Source organism: Homo sapiens, chromosome 11 (assembly GCF_000001405.40).
Source record: "Homo sapiens chromosome 11, GRCh38.p14 Primary Assembly".
Taxonomy (NCBI): Eukaryota; Metazoa; Chordata; class Mammalia; order Primates; family Hominidae; genus Homo; species Homo sapiens.
This window is the reverse complement of record NC_000011.10, coordinates 67,076,357-67,097,519: the sequence shown is the minus strand read 5'-3', so window position 1 is coordinate 67,097,519 and position 21,163 is coordinate 67,076,357. Positions and strand designations below refer to the sequence as shown.

The 21,163-nt window shown below is 52.0% G+C and overlaps 4 annotated features.

Moving 5' to 3' along the window:
* Window positions 2,162-2,221: an enhancer, noted in NCBI's record as "active region_5069". NCBI's record gives its function as "activates an Ori minimal core promoter by ATAC-STARR-seq in GM12878 lymphoblastoid cells {active_cell/tissue: GM12878}" and the evidence as "EXISTENCE:reporter gene assay evidence [ECO:0000049][PMID:35858748]".
* Window positions 2,322-2,391: a silencer, noted in NCBI's record as "silent region_3611". NCBI's record gives its function as "represses an Ori minimal core promoter by ATAC-STARR-seq in GM12878 lymphoblastoid cells {active_cell/tissue: GM12878}" and the evidence as "EXISTENCE:reporter gene assay evidence [ECO:0000049][PMID:35858748]".
* Window positions 18,441-18,550: an enhancer, noted in NCBI's record as "active region_5068". NCBI's record gives its function as "activates an Ori minimal core promoter by ATAC-STARR-seq in GM12878 lymphoblastoid cells {active_cell/tissue: GM12878}" and the evidence as "EXISTENCE:reporter gene assay evidence [ECO:0000049][PMID:35858748]".
* Window positions 18,689-19,584: an enhancer, noted in NCBI's record as "H3K27ac-H3K4me1 hESC enhancer chr11:66845407-66846302 (GRCh37/hg19 assembly coordinates)". NCBI's record gives its function as "activates a minimal SCP1, AML or CMV promoter by ChIP-STARR-seq in naive H9 embryonic stem cells {active_cell/tissue: H9 hESC(naive)}" and the evidence as "EXISTENCE:reporter gene assay evidence [ECO:0000049][PMID:30033119]".

The window sequence follows — 21,163 nt, the reverse complement described above, 5'->3', positions numbered from 1 at the left end:
ACTCATGACCTCAGGTGATCAATCCTCCTCAGCCTCCCAAAGTGCTGGGATTACAGGTGTGAGCCACTGTGCCTTACTTCGAATTCACCCAGAAGCAAACCTTGAGGCAAGGATTCAAGTGCAAGAAGTTTATTTGGGAAATGGTCCTAGGAAATACTGACAGAGGAGTGGAAAGTAAGACAAGGGAGGGAAGAGAACCAACGAAGGGTGCATCGTCGAGCAAGTCACTGCAGTGGCTGCTGGTGCTGCCTGGCTGGACACCTCTGGGAGACAGTGTAGAAGGGGACTCCACATTTTCCTTATCCACCCGCTGCCACCTGCCATTGGTTGTGGGCTGCTTCCAGAGGCTGTTGGCTCCCTGGCACACTCACTGCCCCATGTGTGTGCAGAGTCAGTGGCCTGAGCAACCCCTGGTCAGAGACACAGAATCGGGACTGCCAACGGCCCGTGGTAGGCACCACATCCAGAGCTACAGAGGGCAATGGAGAGTTCTGGAGAGTTCTTTGGATGCTCTGAGAGAACTAGGGTAGGGTATGGTGGGCACCAGAAAAAAAAAAAAAGTTCAGTTTGAGAGAATGTCAGACTTAGTGACATCCTTTACCAAGGCTTTCTAGGGATCATGGGCATTGAGTTTGAACTTGCAGATGTGGGAAGGAAAGCCCGCTGGAAACAAAAACCTCCTGTGCCACATCCCACTGCAAGAGCCAGCCTGCTGGGAGGCAGCCTGCTGGGCTCTAAGGCAGAGTTGGGAGGGCAGGAGGCAGGTGAGTGGAGGTCCCTGGTAGCAGTGTCTCCCGGCCTCCCTGCTCCCATGGGGCCCCTGCAGCCACCAGCCTGGCTCCACCCAAAGCCAAAGATGCCCCTTATTTATTATTATTATTATTATTATTATTATTATTATTATTATTGACACAGTCTCGCTCTGTCACCCCAGGCTGGAGTGCAGTGGTATGATCTCCGCTTACTGCAAACTCAGCCTCCTGGGTTCAAGTGATTCTCCTGCCTCAGCCTCCCGAGTAGCTGGGATTACAAGTGCCTGCCACGACCCCTGGCTAATTTTTGTATTTGTAGTAGAGACAGGGTTTTGCCATGTTGGCCAGGCTGGTCTTGAACTCCTGACCTCAGGTGATCTGCTCGCCTCGGCTTCCCAAAGTGCCAGGATTATAGGCATGAGCCACCACGCCCGGCCAATGTGCCCTTTCTTTTTCTTTTGCTTTCTTTTTTTTGAGACGGACTTTCGCTCTTGTTGCCCAGGCTGGAGTGCAATGGCGTGATCTTGGCTCACTGCAATATTTGCCTCCTGGGTTCAAGCGATTCTCCTGCCTCAGCCTCCCGCGTAGCTGGGATTACAGGCATATGCCACCACACCCAGCTAATTTTGTATTTTTAGTAGAGGTGGGGTTTCGCCATGTTGGTCAGGCTGGTCTCAAACTCCCGACAGGTGATCCGCCTACCTTGGCTTGGCTTCCCAAAATGTTGGGATTATAGGCATGAGCCACCACGCCTGGACTTCCTTTTTTTTTTAGAGAAAGGGTCTCGTTTTTTCACCCAGACTGGAGTGCAGTGGCGTGACCATAGCTCACTGTAGCCTCAAACTTTTGGGCTCAGGTGATCCTCTTGCCTCAGCCTCGAGGAGCTGGGACTACAGGTGCACTTCAGAGAGAGAGCCCCAGCCAGGGGCTAAGGTACCTTTCCTTTAACCTCCTCACAGGTCACACCTATATGGGCCAGGACCTTGCAGAGGTTGCAGCTAAGAAGCAGGGGCCAGAGGGTGGCCTGCTGCAGGAAGGCGGCTACCTAGTTACTGATCCCTAGTTACTCACGGGGGTGAGGGTCCCATTCTCCCCTGAACCCCCAGCAGTGTCCCCTGCAGTGTGAGCACTTCTCCGGAGAGGACAGTTTCTGCCCCAGTACTCACGCTGCAACTGACTAGCAGCTTCAGGGGACAGGGCAGGGAGAGGGGCAGGGTCGACCCTTGCTGCTTAGGTGAGAGGTCTTCATCCTGAACCCTGCTTGTCTTCACCCTGAGCGGGTGCTGGAGCATCATCCATCCAGAGAGGTCTGCAGGTCCCTCCAGCCCATCCTGCACATCCCACCACTGCTCTCACTCCTGCTCCAGGATCAGCCCAGCTGTGAAAATTCTCCAGTGTCCCCTCACCTGGCTCAGCCCTAAATCTTTCCCTCACTTCCACCACAATCCTAGCATCCCAAGCCCCATGCATAGCTGACCACAGACCACTGCCTTGTGAGCCTGGACTGGAGCAAACTTCAGCTAGAGGCACAGGGAAGGTCAGGTTTTGGGCACATGTAGGGGAGCAGTGGCCCTTCCAGCTGGTGGACAGCTGTTCCTGGTGTCCCTGCAGGTGCCTGGGCCTCTAGCATGCTGGCCTGGCAATCCTACCCCACCCCACCCCCGCCCCCTGGCGGGCTTTTAATACCTGGCATAATCTCTTCTGCTGATGCAGCTGGTTTTAAGGTGGGAAGAGGGGCCAGTGAACTTGGAGAAGCTTGGGAGCTGCTCTGCCTGCAGCCCAGAGACCCAGGACGGGTGGGCAAAGGAAACTTGAGCGAACAGGCACCAGGTGGGAAAAATGCGTGAGCAAATCTATTTTTTTTTTTTTTCTGAGACAGAGTCTCCCTGTGTCACCCAGGCTGGAGTGCAGTGGCGTGATCTCTGCTCACTGCAAGCTCCGCCTCCCAGGTTCAGGCCATTCTCCTGCCTCAGCCTCCCAAATAGCTGGGACTACAGGCACCTGCAACCACGCCCGGCTAATTTTTTTGTATTTTTAGTAGAGACGGGGTTTCACCATGTTAGCCAGGATGCTCTTGATCTCCTGACCTCGTGATCCGCCTGCCTCGGCCTCCCAAAGTGCTGGGATTACAGGCATGAGCCATCGCGCCTGGTCTGCATGAGCAAATCTAAAGCTATCAGGGGCTTTCTTTCTTTCTTTCCTTCTTTCCTTCTTTTCCTTCCTTCCTGCCTTCCTTCCTTCCTTCCTCCCTCCCTCCCTTCCTCTTTCTCTCTCTTTTCATTCGTTCTTTCTCTCTCTTTCCCTTCCTTCCTTTTCCCTCTCTCTCCCTCCTTCCTTTTCTCCCTCCCTTCTCCCCTCCCTCCCTCCCTCCCTTCTTTTTTTTTTTTTTTTTGAGACGGAGTCTCGCTCTGTTGCCCAGGCTGGAGTGCAGTGGCGTGTCTCGGCTCACTGCAAGCTCCGCCTCCTGGGTTCACGCCATTCTCCTGTCTCAGCCTCCCAAGTAGCTGGGACTACAGGTGCTGGCCACCATGCCTGGCTAATTTTTTGTATTTTTAGTAGAGATGGGGTTTCACCATGTTAGCCAGGATGGTCTCAATCTCCTGACCTCGTGATCTGCCCACCTTGGCCTCCCAAAGTGCTGGGATTACAGGTGTGAGCCACCACGCCTGGCTTTTTTTTTTTTTTTGAGACAGAGTCTTGCTCTGTTGCCCAGGCTGGAGGGCAGTGGCACGATCTCTGGTCACTGCAACCTCCACCTCCTGGGTTCAAGCGATTCTCCTGCCTCAGCCTCCCTAGTAGGTGGGAGCACACCCCACCATGCTCCACTAATTTTTGTATTTTTAGTAGAGACGGGGTTTCACCATGTTGGCCAGGCTGGTCTCAAACTCCTGACCTCAAGCAATCCGCCCGCCTCAGCCTCCCAAAGTGCTGGGATTACAGGCGTGAGCCACCGTGCCCGGCTTGGCTGTTTGCATTTCTATTGTCAGCTGCCAGCTGAGGTTTGTTTAAACCTCAGGAGGTATCCCCTGGTTCAAGTGGGTTACTGCTCCACCCAGGACTAGAATTTCACAAGTAGGTGTGCGTTGCACCCATCCTATAGGTCTTGCCTGGAATTGGGGCAGTTCACATCTTACGCTGCACACATGCATTTACTGAGCAGTGCTCTGCACTGAGGGAGGCAGATGGGTTGCTATTGGGTCTCTGGGACCTACCCTCAGCCAGTATGCCATCTAGGTACCAGTAGGGGCAGCCCTCAGGTGGCCCACCCAGCCAGGTCCTACTCTTGGGATTTCACCTGACTACTACTGTAATTTCTGGTGGCTACTTTGATTTTTCTTTTTTTGAGACGGAGTCTCACTCTATTGCCAGGCTAGAGTGCTGTGGCACGATCTCAGCTCACTGCAACCTCTGACTCCCTGGTTCAAGCGATTGTCCTGCCTCAGCCTCCCGAGTAGCTGGGACTACTGGCGCATGTCACCACGCCCAGCGAATTTTTTTGTATTTTTAGTAAAGATGGGGTTTCACCATGTTGGCCAGGATGGTCTCAATCTCCTGACCTTGTGATCCACCCGCCTTGGCATCCTAAAGTGCTGGGATCACGGGCCTGAGCCACTGCGCCTGGCCTGATTTTTTAAATAACCATTCTACTTTAGAACAGTTCTAGATTTGCAGGAAAAGTATGTTTCTATATAGCCCTGCACCAAGTTTCCCCTATTATTAATATCTCAGATTACTGTGGTACGTGTGTTACAAGTAATGATACATGGCTGGGCGTGGTGGCTCACGCCTGTAATCCCAGCACTTTGGGAGGCCAAGGCGGGCAAATCACTTGAGGTCAGGAGTTCCAGACCAGCCTGGCCAACATGGTGAAACTCTATCTCTACTAAAAATATAAAAAATTAGCCAGTCACGGTGGCGCACGCCTATAATCCCAGCTACTCAAGAGGCTGAAGCAGGCTGGACACGGTGGCTCACGCCTGTAATCCTAGCACTTTGGGAGGCCAAGGCCGGCGGATCACGAGGTCAGGAGATCGAGACCATCCTGGCTAATATGGTGAAACATCCTCTCTACTAAAAATACAAAAAATTAGCTGGGCGTGGTGGTGGGCGCCTGTAGTCCCAGCTACTCGGGAGGCTGAGGCAGGAGAATGGCATGAACCCGGGAGGCAGAGCTTGCAATGCCACTGCACTCCAGCCTGGGTGACAGAGCAAGACTCCGTCTCAAAGGCAAAAAAAAAAAAAGAGAGGCTGAGGCAGGAGAACCTCTTGAACCTGGGAGGTGGAGCTTGCCATGAGCCGAAATTGCACCACTGCACTCCAGCCTGGGCGAAAGAGTGAGACTCTGTCTCAAAAACAAACAAATAAACAAAGAAAAAGGAAAAACAAGTAATGATACATACAATATTGACACATTATTTTTAATTAAAGATCATACTTTACAAACTAACACAGGAACAGAAAACCAAACATCGCATGTTCTCACTCCTAAGTGGGAGTTGAACAATGAGAACACATGGACACAGGGAGGGGAACATCCCACACCGGAGCCTGTCGGGGAGTGGGGGACAAGGGGAGGGAGAGCATTAGGACAAATATCTTTTTTTTTTTTTTGAGATGGAGTTTCACTCTCGTAACCCAGGCTGGAGTGCAATGGTGTGATCTTGGCTCACTGCAACCACTGCCTCCCAGGATCAAGCGATTCTCCTGCCTCAGCCTCCCGAGTAGCTGGGATTACAGGCATGCACCACCACCTCCGGCTAATTTTGTATTTTTAGTGGAGACAGGGTTTCTCCATGTTGGTCAGGGTAGTTTCGAACTCCCAACCTCAAGTGATCCGCCTGCCTCGGCCTCCCAAAGTGCTGGGATTACAGGTGTGAGCCACCACGCCTGGCTTAGGACAAGTATCTAATGCATGCGGGGCTTAAAACCTTGTTGATAGGCGCAGCAAACTACCATGGCACATGTATACTTACGTAACAAACCTGCACGTTCTGCACATGTATCCCAGAACCTAAAGTAAACAAAACAAAACAAAAGAATACTTTATTCTGATTTCCTTAGTTTTTGTTTGTTTTGTTTTTTTGAGACGGAGTTTTGCTCTTGTTGCCCAGTCTGGAGTAAAATGGCACAACCTTAGCTCACTGCATCCTCTGCCTCCCAGGTTCAAGGATTCTCCTGCCTCAACCTCCCAAGTAGCTGGGATTACAGGCATGTGCCACCATGTCCAGCTAATTTTTGTATTTTTAGTAGAGACGGGGTTTCTCTATGTTGGCCAGGCTGGTCTCGAACTCCCAACCTCAGGTGATCCTCCCGCCTCGGCCTCCCAAAGTGCAGGGATTACAGGCGTGAACCACTGTGCCCAGCTTGATTTCCTTAGTTTTTTTTTTTTGTTTTTTTGAGACGGAGTCTTGCTCTGTTGCCCCGGCTGGAGTGTAGTGGTGCGATCTCAGTTCACTGTAAGCTCCGCCTCCCGTGTTCATGCCATTCTCCTGCCTCAGCCTCCCGAGTAGCTGGGACTACAGGTGCCTGCTGCCACGCCCTGCTAATTTTTTGTATTTTTAGTACAGACAGCGTTTCACTGTGTTAGCCAGGATGGTCTTGATCTCCTGACCTCAGGTGATCCGCCCGCCTCGGCCTCCCAAAGTGCTGGGATTACAGGCGTGAGCCACTGCGCCCGGCCTGATTTCCTTAGTTTTAATCTAATGTCCTTTTCTGTGCCAGAATCCCATTCAGGACACCACATCGATGGCATTGAGTTGTCATGTCTCCTTAGGTTTCTCTTGGCTGTGATGGTGTCTCAGACTCTCCTGGTTGTTGTTTTTTGAGACATGGTCTGAGGCTGGAGTGCAATGGTGCGATCACGGCTCACTGTAGCGTTAACCTCCTGGCTCAGGCAGTCCTCCCACCTCAGCCTCCTGGGACTGAGGTTTGAGCTACAATACCAGGCTAATTTTGTTTGTAGAGACAGGGTCTCACCACATTGCAGAGACTGCTGGTCTTGAACTCCTGTCCTCAAGCAGTCTTCCCACTTCGGCCTCCCAAAGTTCTGGGATTATAGGCATCAGTCACTGCTCCTGGCCTTTTCCTTGTTTTTGATAACCTTGACAGTTTTGAGGACTGGTCAGATTTGTACAATGCCCCTTAATTGGATCTGTCTGGTATTTTTCTCATTATTAGACAAGGATTGTGGGATTTTAGGAGGAAGATCACAGAGGTAAATTGCTTTGGTTAACTTATCTTTTTTTTTTTTTTTTTGAGTCTTGCTCTGTCACCCAGGCTGGAGTGCAGTGGTGCGATCTTGGCTCACTGCAAGCTCCGCCTCTCAGGTTCACGCCATTCTCCTGCCTCAGCCTCCTGAGTAGCTGGGACTACAGGCGCCTGCCACCACGCCTGGCTAATTTTTCTTTTCTTTTCTTTTTTTTTTTTGTATTTTTAGTAGAGACAGGGTTTCACCGTGTTAGCCAGGATGGTCATGATCTCCTGACCTCATGATCCGCCCGCCTGGGCCTCCCACAGTGCTGGGATTATAGGCATGAGCCACTGCAGCCGGCAACTTTTCTTTTTTATTTTATTTATTTATTTATTTTTTTTTTGAGATGGAGTCTTGCTCTGTCACCCAGGCTGGAGTGCAGTGGCATGATCTTGGCTCACTGCAAGCTCCACCTCCTGGGTTCATGACATTCTCCTGCCTCAGCCTCCCCAGCAGCTGGGACTACAGGCGCCCACCACCATGCCCGGCTAATTTTTTTGTATTTTTAGTAGAGACGGGGTTTCTCCATGTTAGCCAGGATGGTCTCGATCTCCTGACCTCATGATCTGCCCTCCTCGGCCTCCCAAAGTGCGGGGATTACAGGCCTGAGCCACCGCGCCGCCCGGCCAAGTTTTCTTTTTTTTAAAAAAATTATTATTATTTTTTGGGATGGAGTCTCACTCTGTCATCCAGGCCGGAGTGCAGTGGCTTAGTCTTGGCTCACTGCAACCTCCGCCTCCCGGGTTCAAGCAATTCTCCTGCCTCAGTCTCCTGAGTAGCTGGGATTACAGGTGCCCACCACCATGCCCAGCTAATTTTTCGTATTTTTAGTAGAGACAGGGTTTCACCATGTTGGCCAGGCTAGTCTCAAACTCCTGACCTCAGGTGATCCACCCACCTCAGCCTCCCAGAATGCTGGGTTACAGGCATAAGCCACTATGCCTGGCCCTGGTTACCTTTTCATATAAAAATCAAGTTGTCGGCCGGGTGCGGTGGCTCACGCCTGTAATCCTAGCACTCTGGGAGGCCGAGGCAGGCAGATCACGAAGTCAGGAGTTCGATACCAGCCTGACCAACGTCGTGAAACCTTCTTTCTACTAAAAATACAAAAATTAGCTGGGCATGGTGGCTAACCCCTGTAATCCCAGCTACTCGGGAGGGTGAGACAGGAGAATTGCTTGAACCCGGGAGGCGGAGGTTGCAGTGAGCCAAGATCAAGCCACTGCACTCCAGCCTGGGTGACAGAGCGAGACACTGTCTTGGAGGAAAAAAAAAATACCCAGCTTGGCGGGCGTGGTGGCTCATGCCTCTAATCCCAGCACCTTGGGAGGCCGAGGTGGGTGGAGAAACCCCATCTCTACTAAAAATACAAACATTAGCCAGTGTGGTGGTGCATGCCTGTTATCTCAGCTAGTCCAGAGCTGATGCAAGAGAATCGCTTGAGCCCGGGAGGCGGAGGTTGCAGTGAGCTGAGATCCCGCCACTGCACTCCAGCCTGGGTTACAGAGCAAGAATCCATCTCAAAAAACAAAACAAAAGAAAAACAACAAAAAACAACCAGCTTATTGGGGTTTGTTTTGTTTTTGTTGTTGTTTTAGACGAAGTTTCGCTCTTGTTGCCCAGGCTGGAGCGCGATGGCGCGATCTCCGCTTATGGCAACCACTGCCTCCCAGGTTCAAGTGATTTTCCTAATTATGGCCACTGGGTTGGCCATAATGATCTGATCTTGATCAGACAATGAATCAATGTATCTAAAACCAGGGGTGTCATTGGAAAATTCAGTAAGTTTTTTATGTAAAACCTTTGTCCTGGTCCGGGCGTGGTGGCTCACACCTGTAATCCCAAAACTTTGGGAAGCCAAGGGGGGCAGATCACTTGATGGCAGGAATTTGAGACCAGCCTAGCCAACCTGGGGAAGCCCTGTCCCTACCAAAAATAAAAAAATTAGCCAGGTGTGGTGGTGTGTGCCTGTAGTCTCAGCTACTCTGGAGGCTGAGGTGGAAAATCACTTGAACCCGGGGGGTGGAGGTTGCAGCGAGCTGAGATCGCGCCACTGCACTCCAGCCTGGGCGACAGAGACCCTGTCTCAAAAAACAAAAGAATATTTTAAAATTTTTAAATAGAAATAAAAATAACTGGGCGCGGTGGCTCACGCCTGTAATCTCAGCATTTTGGGAGGCGGAGTCGGGCAGATCACTTGAGGCCAGGAGTTTGAGACCAGCCTGGCCAACAAGGCAAAACCCTGTCTCTACTAAAAATATAAATAAATTAGCCAGGTGTGGTGGTGGGTGCCTGTAATCTCATCTACTTGGGAGGCTGACGTGGGAGAATTGCTTGAACCCGGGAGGCGGAGGTTGCAGTGAGCCGAGATAGTGCCACTGCACTTCAGCCTGGGCGACAGAGTGAGACTCCCTCTCAAAACAACAACATCAACAAAATAAATAAACAAACAAACCTTTGTCCTGGATCCCCTTTAACAATTCTGAGACCAAATGTAGTGGATCACGCCTATAATCCCAGCACTTTGGGAGACCAAGGTGGGAGGATTGCTTGAGGCTAGCAGTTTGAGACCAGCCTGGGCAATATGATCTCTACAAATTTTTTGTTTTTTAGACATAGTCTCGCTCTGTCACTCAGGCTGGAGTGCTTGATCTTGGCTCACTGCAACCTCCGCCTCCTGGAGTCAAGCGATTCTCGTGCCTCAACCACCCAAATAGCTAGGATTACAGGCACACGCCACCACACTGGGCTAATTTTTATATTTTTAGTAGAGATTGGGTTTCTGCATGTTGGCCAGGCTGGTCTGGAACTCCTGGCCTCGAGGGGGATGTGCCCGCCTCAGCCTTCCAAAGTGCTGGGATTGCAGGTGTGAGCCACCACACCCAGCCTACAAAAAAAAATTTTTTTTAATTAGTTGGGTGGACGGGCGCGGTGGCTCACACTTGTAATCCCAGCACTTTGGGAGGCCAAGGCGGGTGGATAACTTGAGGTCAGTAGTTTAAGACCAGCTTGGCCAACATGGTGAAACCTCATCTCTACTAAAAATACAAAAATTAGCTGAGCGTGGTGGCACTTGCCTGTAATCCCAGACTCCATCTAAAAACAAACAAACAAACAAACAAACAAATGGCCGGGTGCAGTGGCTCACACCTGTAATCCCAACACTTTGGGAGGCTGAGGCGGGTGAGTCACCTGAAGAGTTCAAGCCCAAAATGGCAAAACCCTGTGTCTACCAAAAAGACAAAAATTAGCTGGGTGTGGTGGTGGGTGCCTGTAATCCCAGCTACTCAGGAGACTGAGGCAGAAGAATCACTTGAACTCGGAAGGCAGAGATTGCAGTCAGTCGAGATCACACTACTGCACTCCAGCGTGGGCAACAGAGCAAGACTCTGTCTAAAAAATATATATATATACTATTTTTAAATGTTTTCCAGTTTTTCTCTTACTTCTTTTTTTTTTTTTTTTTGAGATGGAGTCTTGCCCTGTCGCCCAGGCTGGAGCGCAGTGGCGCGATCTCAGCTCACTGCAAGCTCCACCTCCCAGGTTCACGCCTTTCTCCTGCCTCAGCCTCCCGAGTAGCTGGGACTACAGTCGCCCACCACCACGCCCGGCTAATTTTTTGTATTTTTAGTAGAGACGGGGTTTCACCGTGTTAGCCAGGATGGTCTTGATCTCCTGATCTCGTGATCCACCCGCCTTGGCCTCCCAAAGTGCGGGGATTACAGGCATGATCCACTGCGCCCGGCCTCTCTTACTTTTTTTTTGTTTTTATTTATTTATTTATTTATTTTTATTTTTTTTTTGAGACGGAGTCTTGCTCTGTCGCCAGGCTGGAGTGCAGTGGCGCAGTCTCGGCTCACTGCAACCTCTGCCTCCTGGGTTCAAGCAATTCTCCTGCCTCAGCCTCCCGAGTAGCTGGGATTACAGGCACGCACCACCATGCCCGGCTATTTTTGTATTTTTAGTAGAGATGGGGTTTCACCATGTTGGCCAGGCTGGTCTTGAACTCCTGACCTTGTGATCCGCCCGCCTCGGCCTCCCAAAGTGCTAGGATTACAGGCTTGAGCCACTGCGCCCGCCCTTTTCTTTTGTTTTTAAATGACAGGATCTTAGTCTGTCACCCAGGCTGGAGTATAGTAGCGCAATCATAGTTCATTATAACCTTGAATTCCTGGGCTCAAGTGATCCTCTCACCTCAGCCTCCCGAGTAGCTGGTACTACAGACACGTGCCACCCTGACTGGCTGATTTTTAAAAAAATATTTTGTACAGATGGGGGTCTCCCTATGTGTCTACACTGGTCTCCAGTTCCTGGCCTCAAGCGATCCTCCTGCTTTGGCCTCCCAAAGGGCTGGGATTATGGGCATGCCCCGCCATGCCTGACCTGAATTTCTCTTTAATATAGGATCTGAACCAATGAGAGCTCTTAAGAAGCTTCAGACATCAAAAAGGGCTTGTTAATTTCAGCAGAAAAGAGCCTTGTGGGAAGGCTATCTGATCACTCTGAGTCAGTGACAGGGCTGGTAGCAGGCCCCCACAGCCTGGGTTACAGACCACTGGACACTGTGGACCTGCTGTCCCCATCCATGGCCTGAACACATTGTGCGTTCTGGGACCATCCAGACTGGATTCAAATCCTAAATGTCCCTTGTCAGCTTGTGATTTTTGGACAAATTTTTTAACCCCTCTGCCCCTCAGCAGTTTTCTCATCTGTAAAATGGGGCTGCTGATAACTGTACCTACGTTGCAGGGTGGACATGAAGGTTTAATGAGTTAGTATTCGAAGTGTTGTTGCAGAAGAAATGAGGGTTAAAAATAATTTTTTTTTGAGTTGGAATTTTGCTCTTGTTGCCCAGGCTGGAGTGCAGTGGCAGGATCTCGGCTCACGGCAAACTCCACCTCCTGGGTTCAAGAGATTCTTCTGCCTCAGCCTCCCGAATAGCTGGAATTACAGTCACGCGCCACTATGCTCAGCTAATTTTTGTATTTTTAGTAGAGACAGGATTTTCCCATATTGGCCAGTCTGGTTTCGAACTCCTGACCTCAGGCGATCCACCCTTGGCCTCTGAAAGTGATGGGATTACAGGCGGGAGCCACCGCACCCAGCCTATTTATTTATTTATTTATTTATTTACTCATTTATTTATTGAGACAGAGTCTTGCTCTGTCGCCCAGGCTGGAGTGCAGTGGTGCAATCTTGGCTCACTGCAACCTCTGCCTCCTGGGTTCAAGCGATTCTCCTGCCTCAGCCTCCCAAGTAGCTAGGATTACAGGCACACGCCACCATGCCCAGGTAATTTTTGTATTTTTAGTAGAGACAGGGTTTCACCATGTTGGCCAGGCTGACCTCAGGCAATCCGCCTGCCTCGGCCTCCCGAAGTGCTGGGATTACAGGCGAGCACCACCACGCCCGGCTTTTGTTTTATTTGTTGAGATGGAGTCTCACTCTGTCACCCAGGCCGGAGTGCAATGGCGCCATCTCATCTCACTGCAACCTCCACCTCCCGGGTTCAAGCGATTCTCCTGCCTCAACTTCCCGAGTAGTGGGGATTATAGGCATGCGCCACCACGCCCGGCTGGTTTTTGTATTTTTTGTAGAGACGGGGTTTCACCATGATGGCCAGGCTGGTGTCGAACTCCTGACCTAAAGTGATCCTCCCGCCTCAGCCTCCCAAAGTGTTGGGATTACAGGCATGAGCCACCACACCCGGACTAAACATTATATTAAAAAAAAAAAAAGTGTTGCACGGGGCTCATGCCTATAATCTCAACACTTTGGGAGGCTGAGGCAGGAGGATTGCTTGAGTCCAGGAATTTGAGACCAGCCTGGGCAACACAGTGGGTCCTTGTCTCTCAAAAAAAAAAAAAAAAAAAAAAAAATTAGCCAGGCATGGTGGTATGCTCCTCTAAGTCCAAGCTACTCAGGATGCTGAGGTGAGAGGACCGCTTGAGCCCAGGAGGTTGGGACTTCAGTGAGCTGTGATTGAACCACTGCACTCCATCCTGGACAACAGAGTGAGATCCTGTCTCAAAAAAGTGGCAGACATGTAGTAAGCACTATATATTTTTTTTTCTTGAGACGGAGTTTCACTCTTGTCGCCCAGGCTGGAGTGCAGTGGCACCATCTCAGTTCACTGCAACCTCCGCCTCCCAGGTTGAAGGGATTCTCCTGCCTCAGCTTCCCGAGTAGCTGGGATTACAGGCACAGGACACCATTCCCGGTTAATGTTTTGCATTTTTTAGTAGAGATGAGGTTTCAGGCCTCGTCTTGGCCAGGCTAGTGTCGAACTCCTGACCTCAGGTGATCCACCCACTTCAGCCTCCCAAAGTGCTGAGATTACAGGCGTGAGCCACCGTGCCTGGCAGGAGATTCATTTTTACCACAAATCTTAGCAACTTCAGCTTTTGATTTTTTTGTTTCTTTAAGTTGAGAACTTTCACCTTTTCAGTGAAAGGAAGCTCTCTACAGTTTCTCTTTGGCATATCAGAATTGCCAGCATCACTACTCTTGTGCCCTGGGGCCACTGTTAAATACAGTAAGGGTTACTTGAAACCAGCACTGCCATACCACAGTGGATCCCAACCAAGCCAGCTACTAAGTAACTGATGTAATGATTCCACACTAACTAATAGGTAGTGTCTACCAGGAAGGATGGAGTGGGAATTGGGGAGATGTCATCACGCTACTCAGAATGATGTGCAGTTAAACTTACGGCCAGGCTTGGTGGCTCACACCTGCAATCCCAGCACTTTGGAGGCCGAGGTGGGGGGATCACCTGAGGTCAGGAGTTTAAGATCAGCCTGACCAACATGGCAAAACCCTGTCTCTACTAAAAATACAAAAAGTAGCTGGCCATGGTGGCACATGCCTGTAATCCCAGCTACTTGGGAGGCTGAGGCAGAAGAATCGCTTGAACCCGGGAGGCAGAGGTTGCAGTGAGTGGAGATCACACCACTGCACTCCAGCCTGGGCAACAGAGTGAGACTGTGTCTCAAAAAAAAAAAAAAAGAATTGTTTATTTCTAGAATTTTCCATTTAATAGTTTTGGGCCAAGGTTAACCATGGGTAAATAAAACTGTGGAAAAGGAAGGATAATTCATTTAGGAGGAGATCCCGGGTAGGAGGAGTGAGGGAGGGAGGGGGAGAAGGAAATGGGGAAAGAGAAGCTCACGTATTCTGTTAATGCCCTAGGTGAAGGCTGCGCGTGGACTCTGCTGAGACCCTCCAAGATGTGATCAGAGTGGTATGACTTCCTCCTGGATGGTGGGCCTGAGGACAGCGGGGAGGGGAGGATGTAGGTGAGGGGATTGGGAACTTTCAGGGAGATGGTCCTGGGGGATGTGATGAGTGACAAAGGTATAAAATATTCTTGGCAGGCCGAGCGTGGTGGCACACGTCTGTAATACCAGCTACTCCAGAGGCTGAGACAGGAGAATCGTTTGAACCAGGAAGGCAGAGGTTGCAGTGAGCCAAGATCTCAACACTGCACTCCAGCCTGGGCGACAGAGCAAGACTCTGTTTCAAAAAAGGAAAGAAAAAAATTCTTGGCCAAGCGAGGTGGCTCATGCCTGTAATCCCAGCACTTTGGGAGGCCGAGGTGGGTGGATCACCTGAGGTCAGGAGTTCGAGACCAGCCTGGACAACATGGTGAAACCCCATCTCTACTAAAAATACAAAAATTAGCCGGGCATGGTGGCATGTGCCTATAATCCCAGCTACTGGGGAGGCTGAGGCAGGAGAATCTCTTGAACCCAGGAGGCGGAGGTTGCGATGAGCTGAGGTCGCACCACTGCACTCCAGCCTGGGCAACAAGAGCGAAACTGTCTTAAAAAAAGAAAAAAAAAATTAGCCAGGCATGTTGGCACACGCCTGTGGTCCCAGCTACTCAGGAAACTGAGGCGGGAGGATCGCTGCAGCCCGGGGAGTTTGAGGTTATAGTGAGCTAGGATAGCGCCACTGCACTCCACCCTCGGTGACAGAGTGAGATTCTGTCGCTAAAAATAAAAAATTCTTTATCAGGCCATTTCTTTTTTGATTCTCAACAGAGGTGTTGGGGTGGGGAAGTGAAAAGAACTGGAGAGCTGGGAGTGTCTGAAGAGGCTGGGCTGGGCCAGACAGAAGCTCCTGAGAGGTGTCACCTCTTGGCATTGTGGAGGCAGCAGCCCTTCGCTGTTGGGAGGACGAGGAGGAGTTCACAGCTCCGAAATGTTTCCCAGTGCCCCACACGGGGGTTGGGTCTCTGCATGGGTTTGTTCTCCAGCAGGAAGGTCCCGCCGGCCATCCAGCCTGCCCCGCAGGGTCCTCCAGCTCCACCCCTTCTCTGGCAATCCTCCAGGATTATTCTGGCCACACGCAGTGGGGTGTGCCCCCTGGTGCCTGCCCATAGCACCTCTCTTTCTGGGATCCCTCTCTCGGGGTTCCTTAACACTCTTAAGTATTTTGATCATCTCCCTGAACTGCGTTGCAAATTCTGGGGTGGGGTCAGGAGAGAACAGCAGTGGTGCTCTTACTGCGCTTCCCACGTTTGATCTCACTCCAGCCAGGCCCGCCTGACGCTTGACAAGAATCCTGCCAGTTGGTAGGTGCAGGGGAGGGATTCAAACCCGCATCTCTCTGACCTTAGAACCACAACTGATTCAGGAGAGCATGATTCTCTTTTGGGTCTTTCTAGACTAACTGAATGGTCAACTTACTCAGCCACTCTGAGCCCCAGTTTTATTTCTGTAAAATGTTGGTGGGGCGGGCAGGGCTCAGTGGGTGGGGCTGGTGGCAGTTGTGTGTTGCTAAACATGCCCCAGGCAGGAGCGATGGGGCAGATCGCCACACCTGCCCCATGGGCCTCGCGAGGAGTGGGGAAGGCACCTCTCCTTGGGCCCTGCTGCCCTCTGGTGGTCGAGGTCCAGCACCTGGACAGTACCCAGGGGAGGCCAGGAGCTGAGGCTGAGAGTTGGGGTCCTGTGTCCAAGCGCCCAGCTTTGCCACTCACTGCTTTTGATCCTGCCTTTTATCTTTCTTATTTTTTTCTGTTCCACTAATTTTTTTTTTTTTGAGACAGAGTCTCACTCTGTCACCCAGGCTGGAGTGCAGTGGTGCAATCTTGGCTCACTGCAACCTCCACCTCCCAGGTTCAAGCAATTTTCCTGCCTCAGCCTCCCGAGTAGCTGGGATTACAGGTGTGCGCCACCACACCCGGCTAAGTTTTGTATTTTTAGTAGAGGTGGGGTTTCACCATGTTGGTCAGGCTGGTCTGGAACTCCTGACCTTGTGATCTGCCCGCCTTGGCCTCCCAGAGTGCTAGGATTACAGGCATGAGCCACCGCTCCCAGCCTGTTCCACTAATTTTTTAAAAATGTACCAGCCTTGGCAACATAGTGGACCCTATCTCTACAAAAAAAATTTTAAAATTAGCCAGCTGGAGGCCGGACATGGTGGCTCATGCCTGTAATCCCAGCACTTTGGGAGGCTGAGGCGGGCGGATCACGAGGTCAGGAGATCGAGACCATGCTGGCTAACATGGTGAAACCCTGTCTCTACTAAAAATACAAAAAATCAGCCGGGCGTGGTGGCGGGTGCCTGTAGTCCCAGCTACTTGGGAGGCTGAGGCAGGAGGATGGCGTGAACCCAGGAGGCAGAGCTTGCAGCGAGTTGCCGAGATCATACCACTGCACTCCAGCCTGGGTGACAGAGCTAGACTCCATCTCAAAAAAAAAAAAAAGAAAAAAAAAAAGCCTGCTGTGGTGGTCTGAGCCTGTGATCCCAGCTACTCAGGTGGCTGAGGCGGGAGGATCGCTTGAGCCCAGGAGGTCGTGGCTGCAGTGAGCAGCGACCCTGCCACTGCACTCCAGCCTGGATGACCGAATGAGACCTTGTCTCAAAAATAAAAAATACTTTGTGTGTGTGTGTGTGTGTGTGTATGTGTGTGTGTGTGTGGAGATAGTGTCTTCCTATGTTGCCCAGGCTGGTCTCAAATTCCTGGGCTCAAGCAATCCTCCCACCTTGGCCTCCCAAAGTGCTAGGATTATAGGCATGAGCCACTGTGCCTGGCCTAACCCTGTTTTAGCTGAGCTCCTCCTGTTTGTCTCAATGGCAGGAGCTGGCACCCACACTTGTGGGTTGCTGAGTGAATGTGGCACACTCCCCTCCCCTGCTGGTTGTATCCACATCTGAGCTCCCACGGAGGATGGAAGATGGAAGCTTGGAAGGCAAGGACCACATCCTGCTCTCCTCACCTCTGCACCCTGCCTCCTGCGCTTGGTGCTCAGTAGACACAGTGCCTAGAGCAGGGCCTGTGGTGGCATGCGCTGTGTAGTCCCAGCTACTTGGGAGGCAGAGGCAGGAGGATCACTTGAGCCCAGGAGGTCGAGGCTTCAGTGAGCAGAGACTGTGCCACTGCACTCCAGCCTGGATGACAGAGTGAGACCCTGGCTCAAAAAGAAGTAAAGGCTGGGTGTGGTGGCTCACGCCTGTAATCCCAGCACTTTGGGAGGCCGAGGCAGGTGGATCACCTGAGGTCAGGAGTTCTAGACCAGCCTGGCCAACATGGTGAAATCCCGTCTCTACTAAAAATACAAAAGTTAGCTGGGAGTGGTGGTGGGTGCCTGTAATCCCAGCTACTTGGGAGGCTGAAGCAGGAGAATCGCTTGAACCTGGGAGGCGGAGATTGCAGTGAGCTGAGATCACACCATTGCAGCCTGGGCAACAAAAGCGAAACTCGGTCTCAAAAAAACAAAAACAAAATCAAAAAACCATAAATAAATAAAAATTAAAAAATTTTTTGGTAGGAGCTGATACTACACATTTCCTAATCAAACGTATTAACATTGTCAGCCCTGGGCTGAGCACTGCTCAGTTTGGTGTGTCCCGTGCAAATAGAAGCCCTGGAGGAAATTCCAGCCCCATCCTCCCTGGCTCTGCTGAGGGTCCAGCCCACTCCTGCAGGCCTGCAAACAGCAGTCGGCCTCATGTTCCATTCCGTCTCCTTGATGAAGCTTCCCTCTCTTCTCCTCCCAGGCTTGGTGACCCAGATTGGGAAGAAGAGGCCAGCATCAAACACATACATGCTTGTTTCTGCTTCACAGGCCCTGCAACAACCCTGCACAGTAAACAATTATCCTCATTTCATAGTTAATAGCTCTAGTTAGGAGTTAGCACTGAGGGAGTGAATAAGCACTATTTGCTTATTGAATCCAACCAATGTAGGAGGTCAGAACTACTCATACCCACATTTGACAAATAAAGAAACTGACACATAAGAAAGCCCTAGTGTCTCCTTCAAGGTCACACAGCTGGTAAGTTGAAGAGCCAGGATTTGAGCCCAGGAAAGTCCCCTTCTAGTCACAATCTGACCTTTTTTCTTTTTTGAGATGGAGTCTCTGTCGTGCCTAGGCTGGAGTGCAGTGGTGCGATCTTGGTTCAGTGCAATCTCTGTCTTCTTGTTTCAAGCGATTCTCCTGCCTCAGCCTCCTGAGTAGCTGGGATTACAGGCGTCTGCCACCATGCCTGGCTAATTTTTTGTATTTTTAGTAGAGACAGATTTTACCATGTTGGTCAGGCAGGTCTCAAACTCCTGACCTCAGGTGATCCGCCCACCTTGGCCTTCCAAAGTGCTGGGATTACAGGCGTGAGTCACCACGCCCAGCAATCTGGACCTATTAATCAGCAGCATTACCGTGGAGATTACGCCCTTGAATGCATGGGTGGGCGGTCAGCCGTTCCACTCATTCGACGCTTACTGCCCTCAGCCTGGCCATATGCTTTGTTGGTTTCCTAACCAGCGGCTGAGCGATGACTTCCTGGGGGCTGTGAGTGGTTATCCTCCAAAGGACAGGACCCCAGGAGGAAAAGGAGGCTGGAGAGCAGAGGGTGGCCTGGAGTAGGGTGATCTGCTGGCCACCATCCTCTCCCTGTGTCTAGACATGGGATGGGGCCCAGAGTGCTGCCCCGGCACAGGGGAGAGGGAAGCTCTGTGACTCACAGACAGTGTGCGCCCCACCCTCCTCCTCACCCTGAGGGTGTCAGGGAGTGGCCTGTCCTGGAGGAGATGACTTGAGGTCCCCACCCCTGCCCTCTGCCTTCCCAGCAGACAACCCCAAGGCTGGGCGGAGGCGGCATGGGGAAACGAAGACGGTGGTTTGTGGCTCTTGGCTTGCGCTGGCCTCCAGGCTGGGCCTTCCCCAGCTCCCATCCGTCTGGCCGTGCCTGCCCTACCAGGCTGGGTAGTGAGGAATTGAAAGAGGGGATTGTTGGGGGGAGAAGGAGGAGGAGAATAGTAATAACTCTGGCTCCTCACAGGCGTCTCCAAGGACCCCCCTGCCCCCCGCCCCCGTGCCCTCCTTGGACACTTTGGAGAGCTGTGTGTGGCGGGCTAGGCAGGATGGGGCCTGAAACAGGCGGGGCAGAGGGAGAGGCCAGAGTGAGAAAGCGGCCACCCAACTAAGGTCCCCGCCTCTCCCAGTGCCGGGTCTGGGAGAAGTGCTCGCCCTCCCCACATTCCTCCCGCCCCCCCCACCCCGACCCCAGGTGGGAGAGGCCTGCATTCTTCCCTCCCTCCCAACGTCCCCACCCTTCCCAAAGTCCACCCTTGGTGCTACAGCTTCCAGCCCAGAAGTCACCAAGCCTTGACTTGTAGTGGCTTGTTTCTTGTGTCTGGACATCTGCAGCTCCCCAGCTGGTCTCCAGGCTCCCGCCTCCCTCCTCCCAGATAGCCCACCTGGTCCCACCACCAGACCTGTCATCTTAGGGAGTCTAACCTGGCCCTTCCCACAGCACGGGAAGAAAAGCCCAGTTCCTTAGCCAAGGGGCCCCGTGAAGAGAGATTTGGTGCGCACAGGCAGGCGTGCAGTGAAGAGGGAGAGAGGCGGCAGGCCCGGCCCACAAGCTTCCTGGAGAGGGTGGTGTCCCAGCTGGACCCTGAAGGATTTGGGGGAGGAGGGGAGGTTTGAACAGGCGGTGACTGGGAGGCAGGGCTTGCCGAGGTGGGGAAGCAGTCTGAGCGAAGGCTAGGAGGTTGGTGCTCCTTGGATGTGGCCCCTGGGTGTGGCCGGAGTGGGTGTGGGGAGGTGTCCTGGGGATAAGGCCCGGATCAATGTGGGCTAGGGCCAGATACTGGAGAGCCCCAGGCCCCAACTGTGGACTCTGGCCCTTCTTCTCTGGGCAGAGGGGGCTGCTGAAGGCTTCTGTGCAGGGACGCACTTATGCTTTGGAGGATGGCTCTGCCAGGGTGAGGAGGATGGAGGAGGCCGAGAGCCTGCAGGCTGGGAGACTTATGTGATGGTCCAAGCCCGAATGGATGAGGGTCTGAATGGAGCACGGATTCATGGCATTCATTAATTCATTCACTCATTTCTCACCTATGTATTTGGTGTTTACTCTATGCTAGGCATTGTTTGAGGCACAGGGGATTTCTTTCTTTCTTTCTTTCCTTCCTTCCTTCCTTCCTTCCTTCCTTCCTTCCTTCCTTCCTTCCTTCCTTCCTTCCTTCCTTCCTTTCTTTCTTTTTTTTTTTGAGACGGAGTCTCGCTCTGTCGCCCAGGCTGGAGTGCAATGGCGCAATCTCAGCTCACTGCAACCTCCGCCTCTGGGGTTCAAGAAATTCTCCTGCCTCAGCCTCCCGAGTAGCTGGGACTACAGGCGCCTGCCACGACGCTCGGCTAATTTTTTCTATTTTTAGTAGATACGGGATTTCCCCATGTTGGCCAGGCTGGTCTCGAACTCCTGACCTCAGGTGATCCACTCGCCTCGGCCTCCCAAAGTGCTGAGATTACAGACATGAGCCACTGCGCCCGGCTGGCACAGGAGATTGCAACAAGCCCAGCCTGTGCTCTCAGAGAGCTGGCATGACCATGGGGAGACAGACAGGACCATTTCAGGTGGTGATGAGCTCTCAAAGAAGGAGAGGAGGGCAGCCCTTGGCAGGGAAGGAAAGTCCGATGTGTGTGCTCCTGAGTCCCACTGTCTCTCCCAGGAACTCTCTCCCCCGCACAGCAGGCAGGTGCCGACTTCCCTCCTCTTATTTGGTGGCCCCAGATGCCTCTCCCCAACTTCTGCACACCACTGGATCTTTCAGCTCCCCAGACCATCCTGTTTCTCTTTTGCCCACAGAGCTCGGTTCCTCACTGACCTTGATCTCCCAGCACGTGTCCTCAGTGAAGTGCCATGAGAG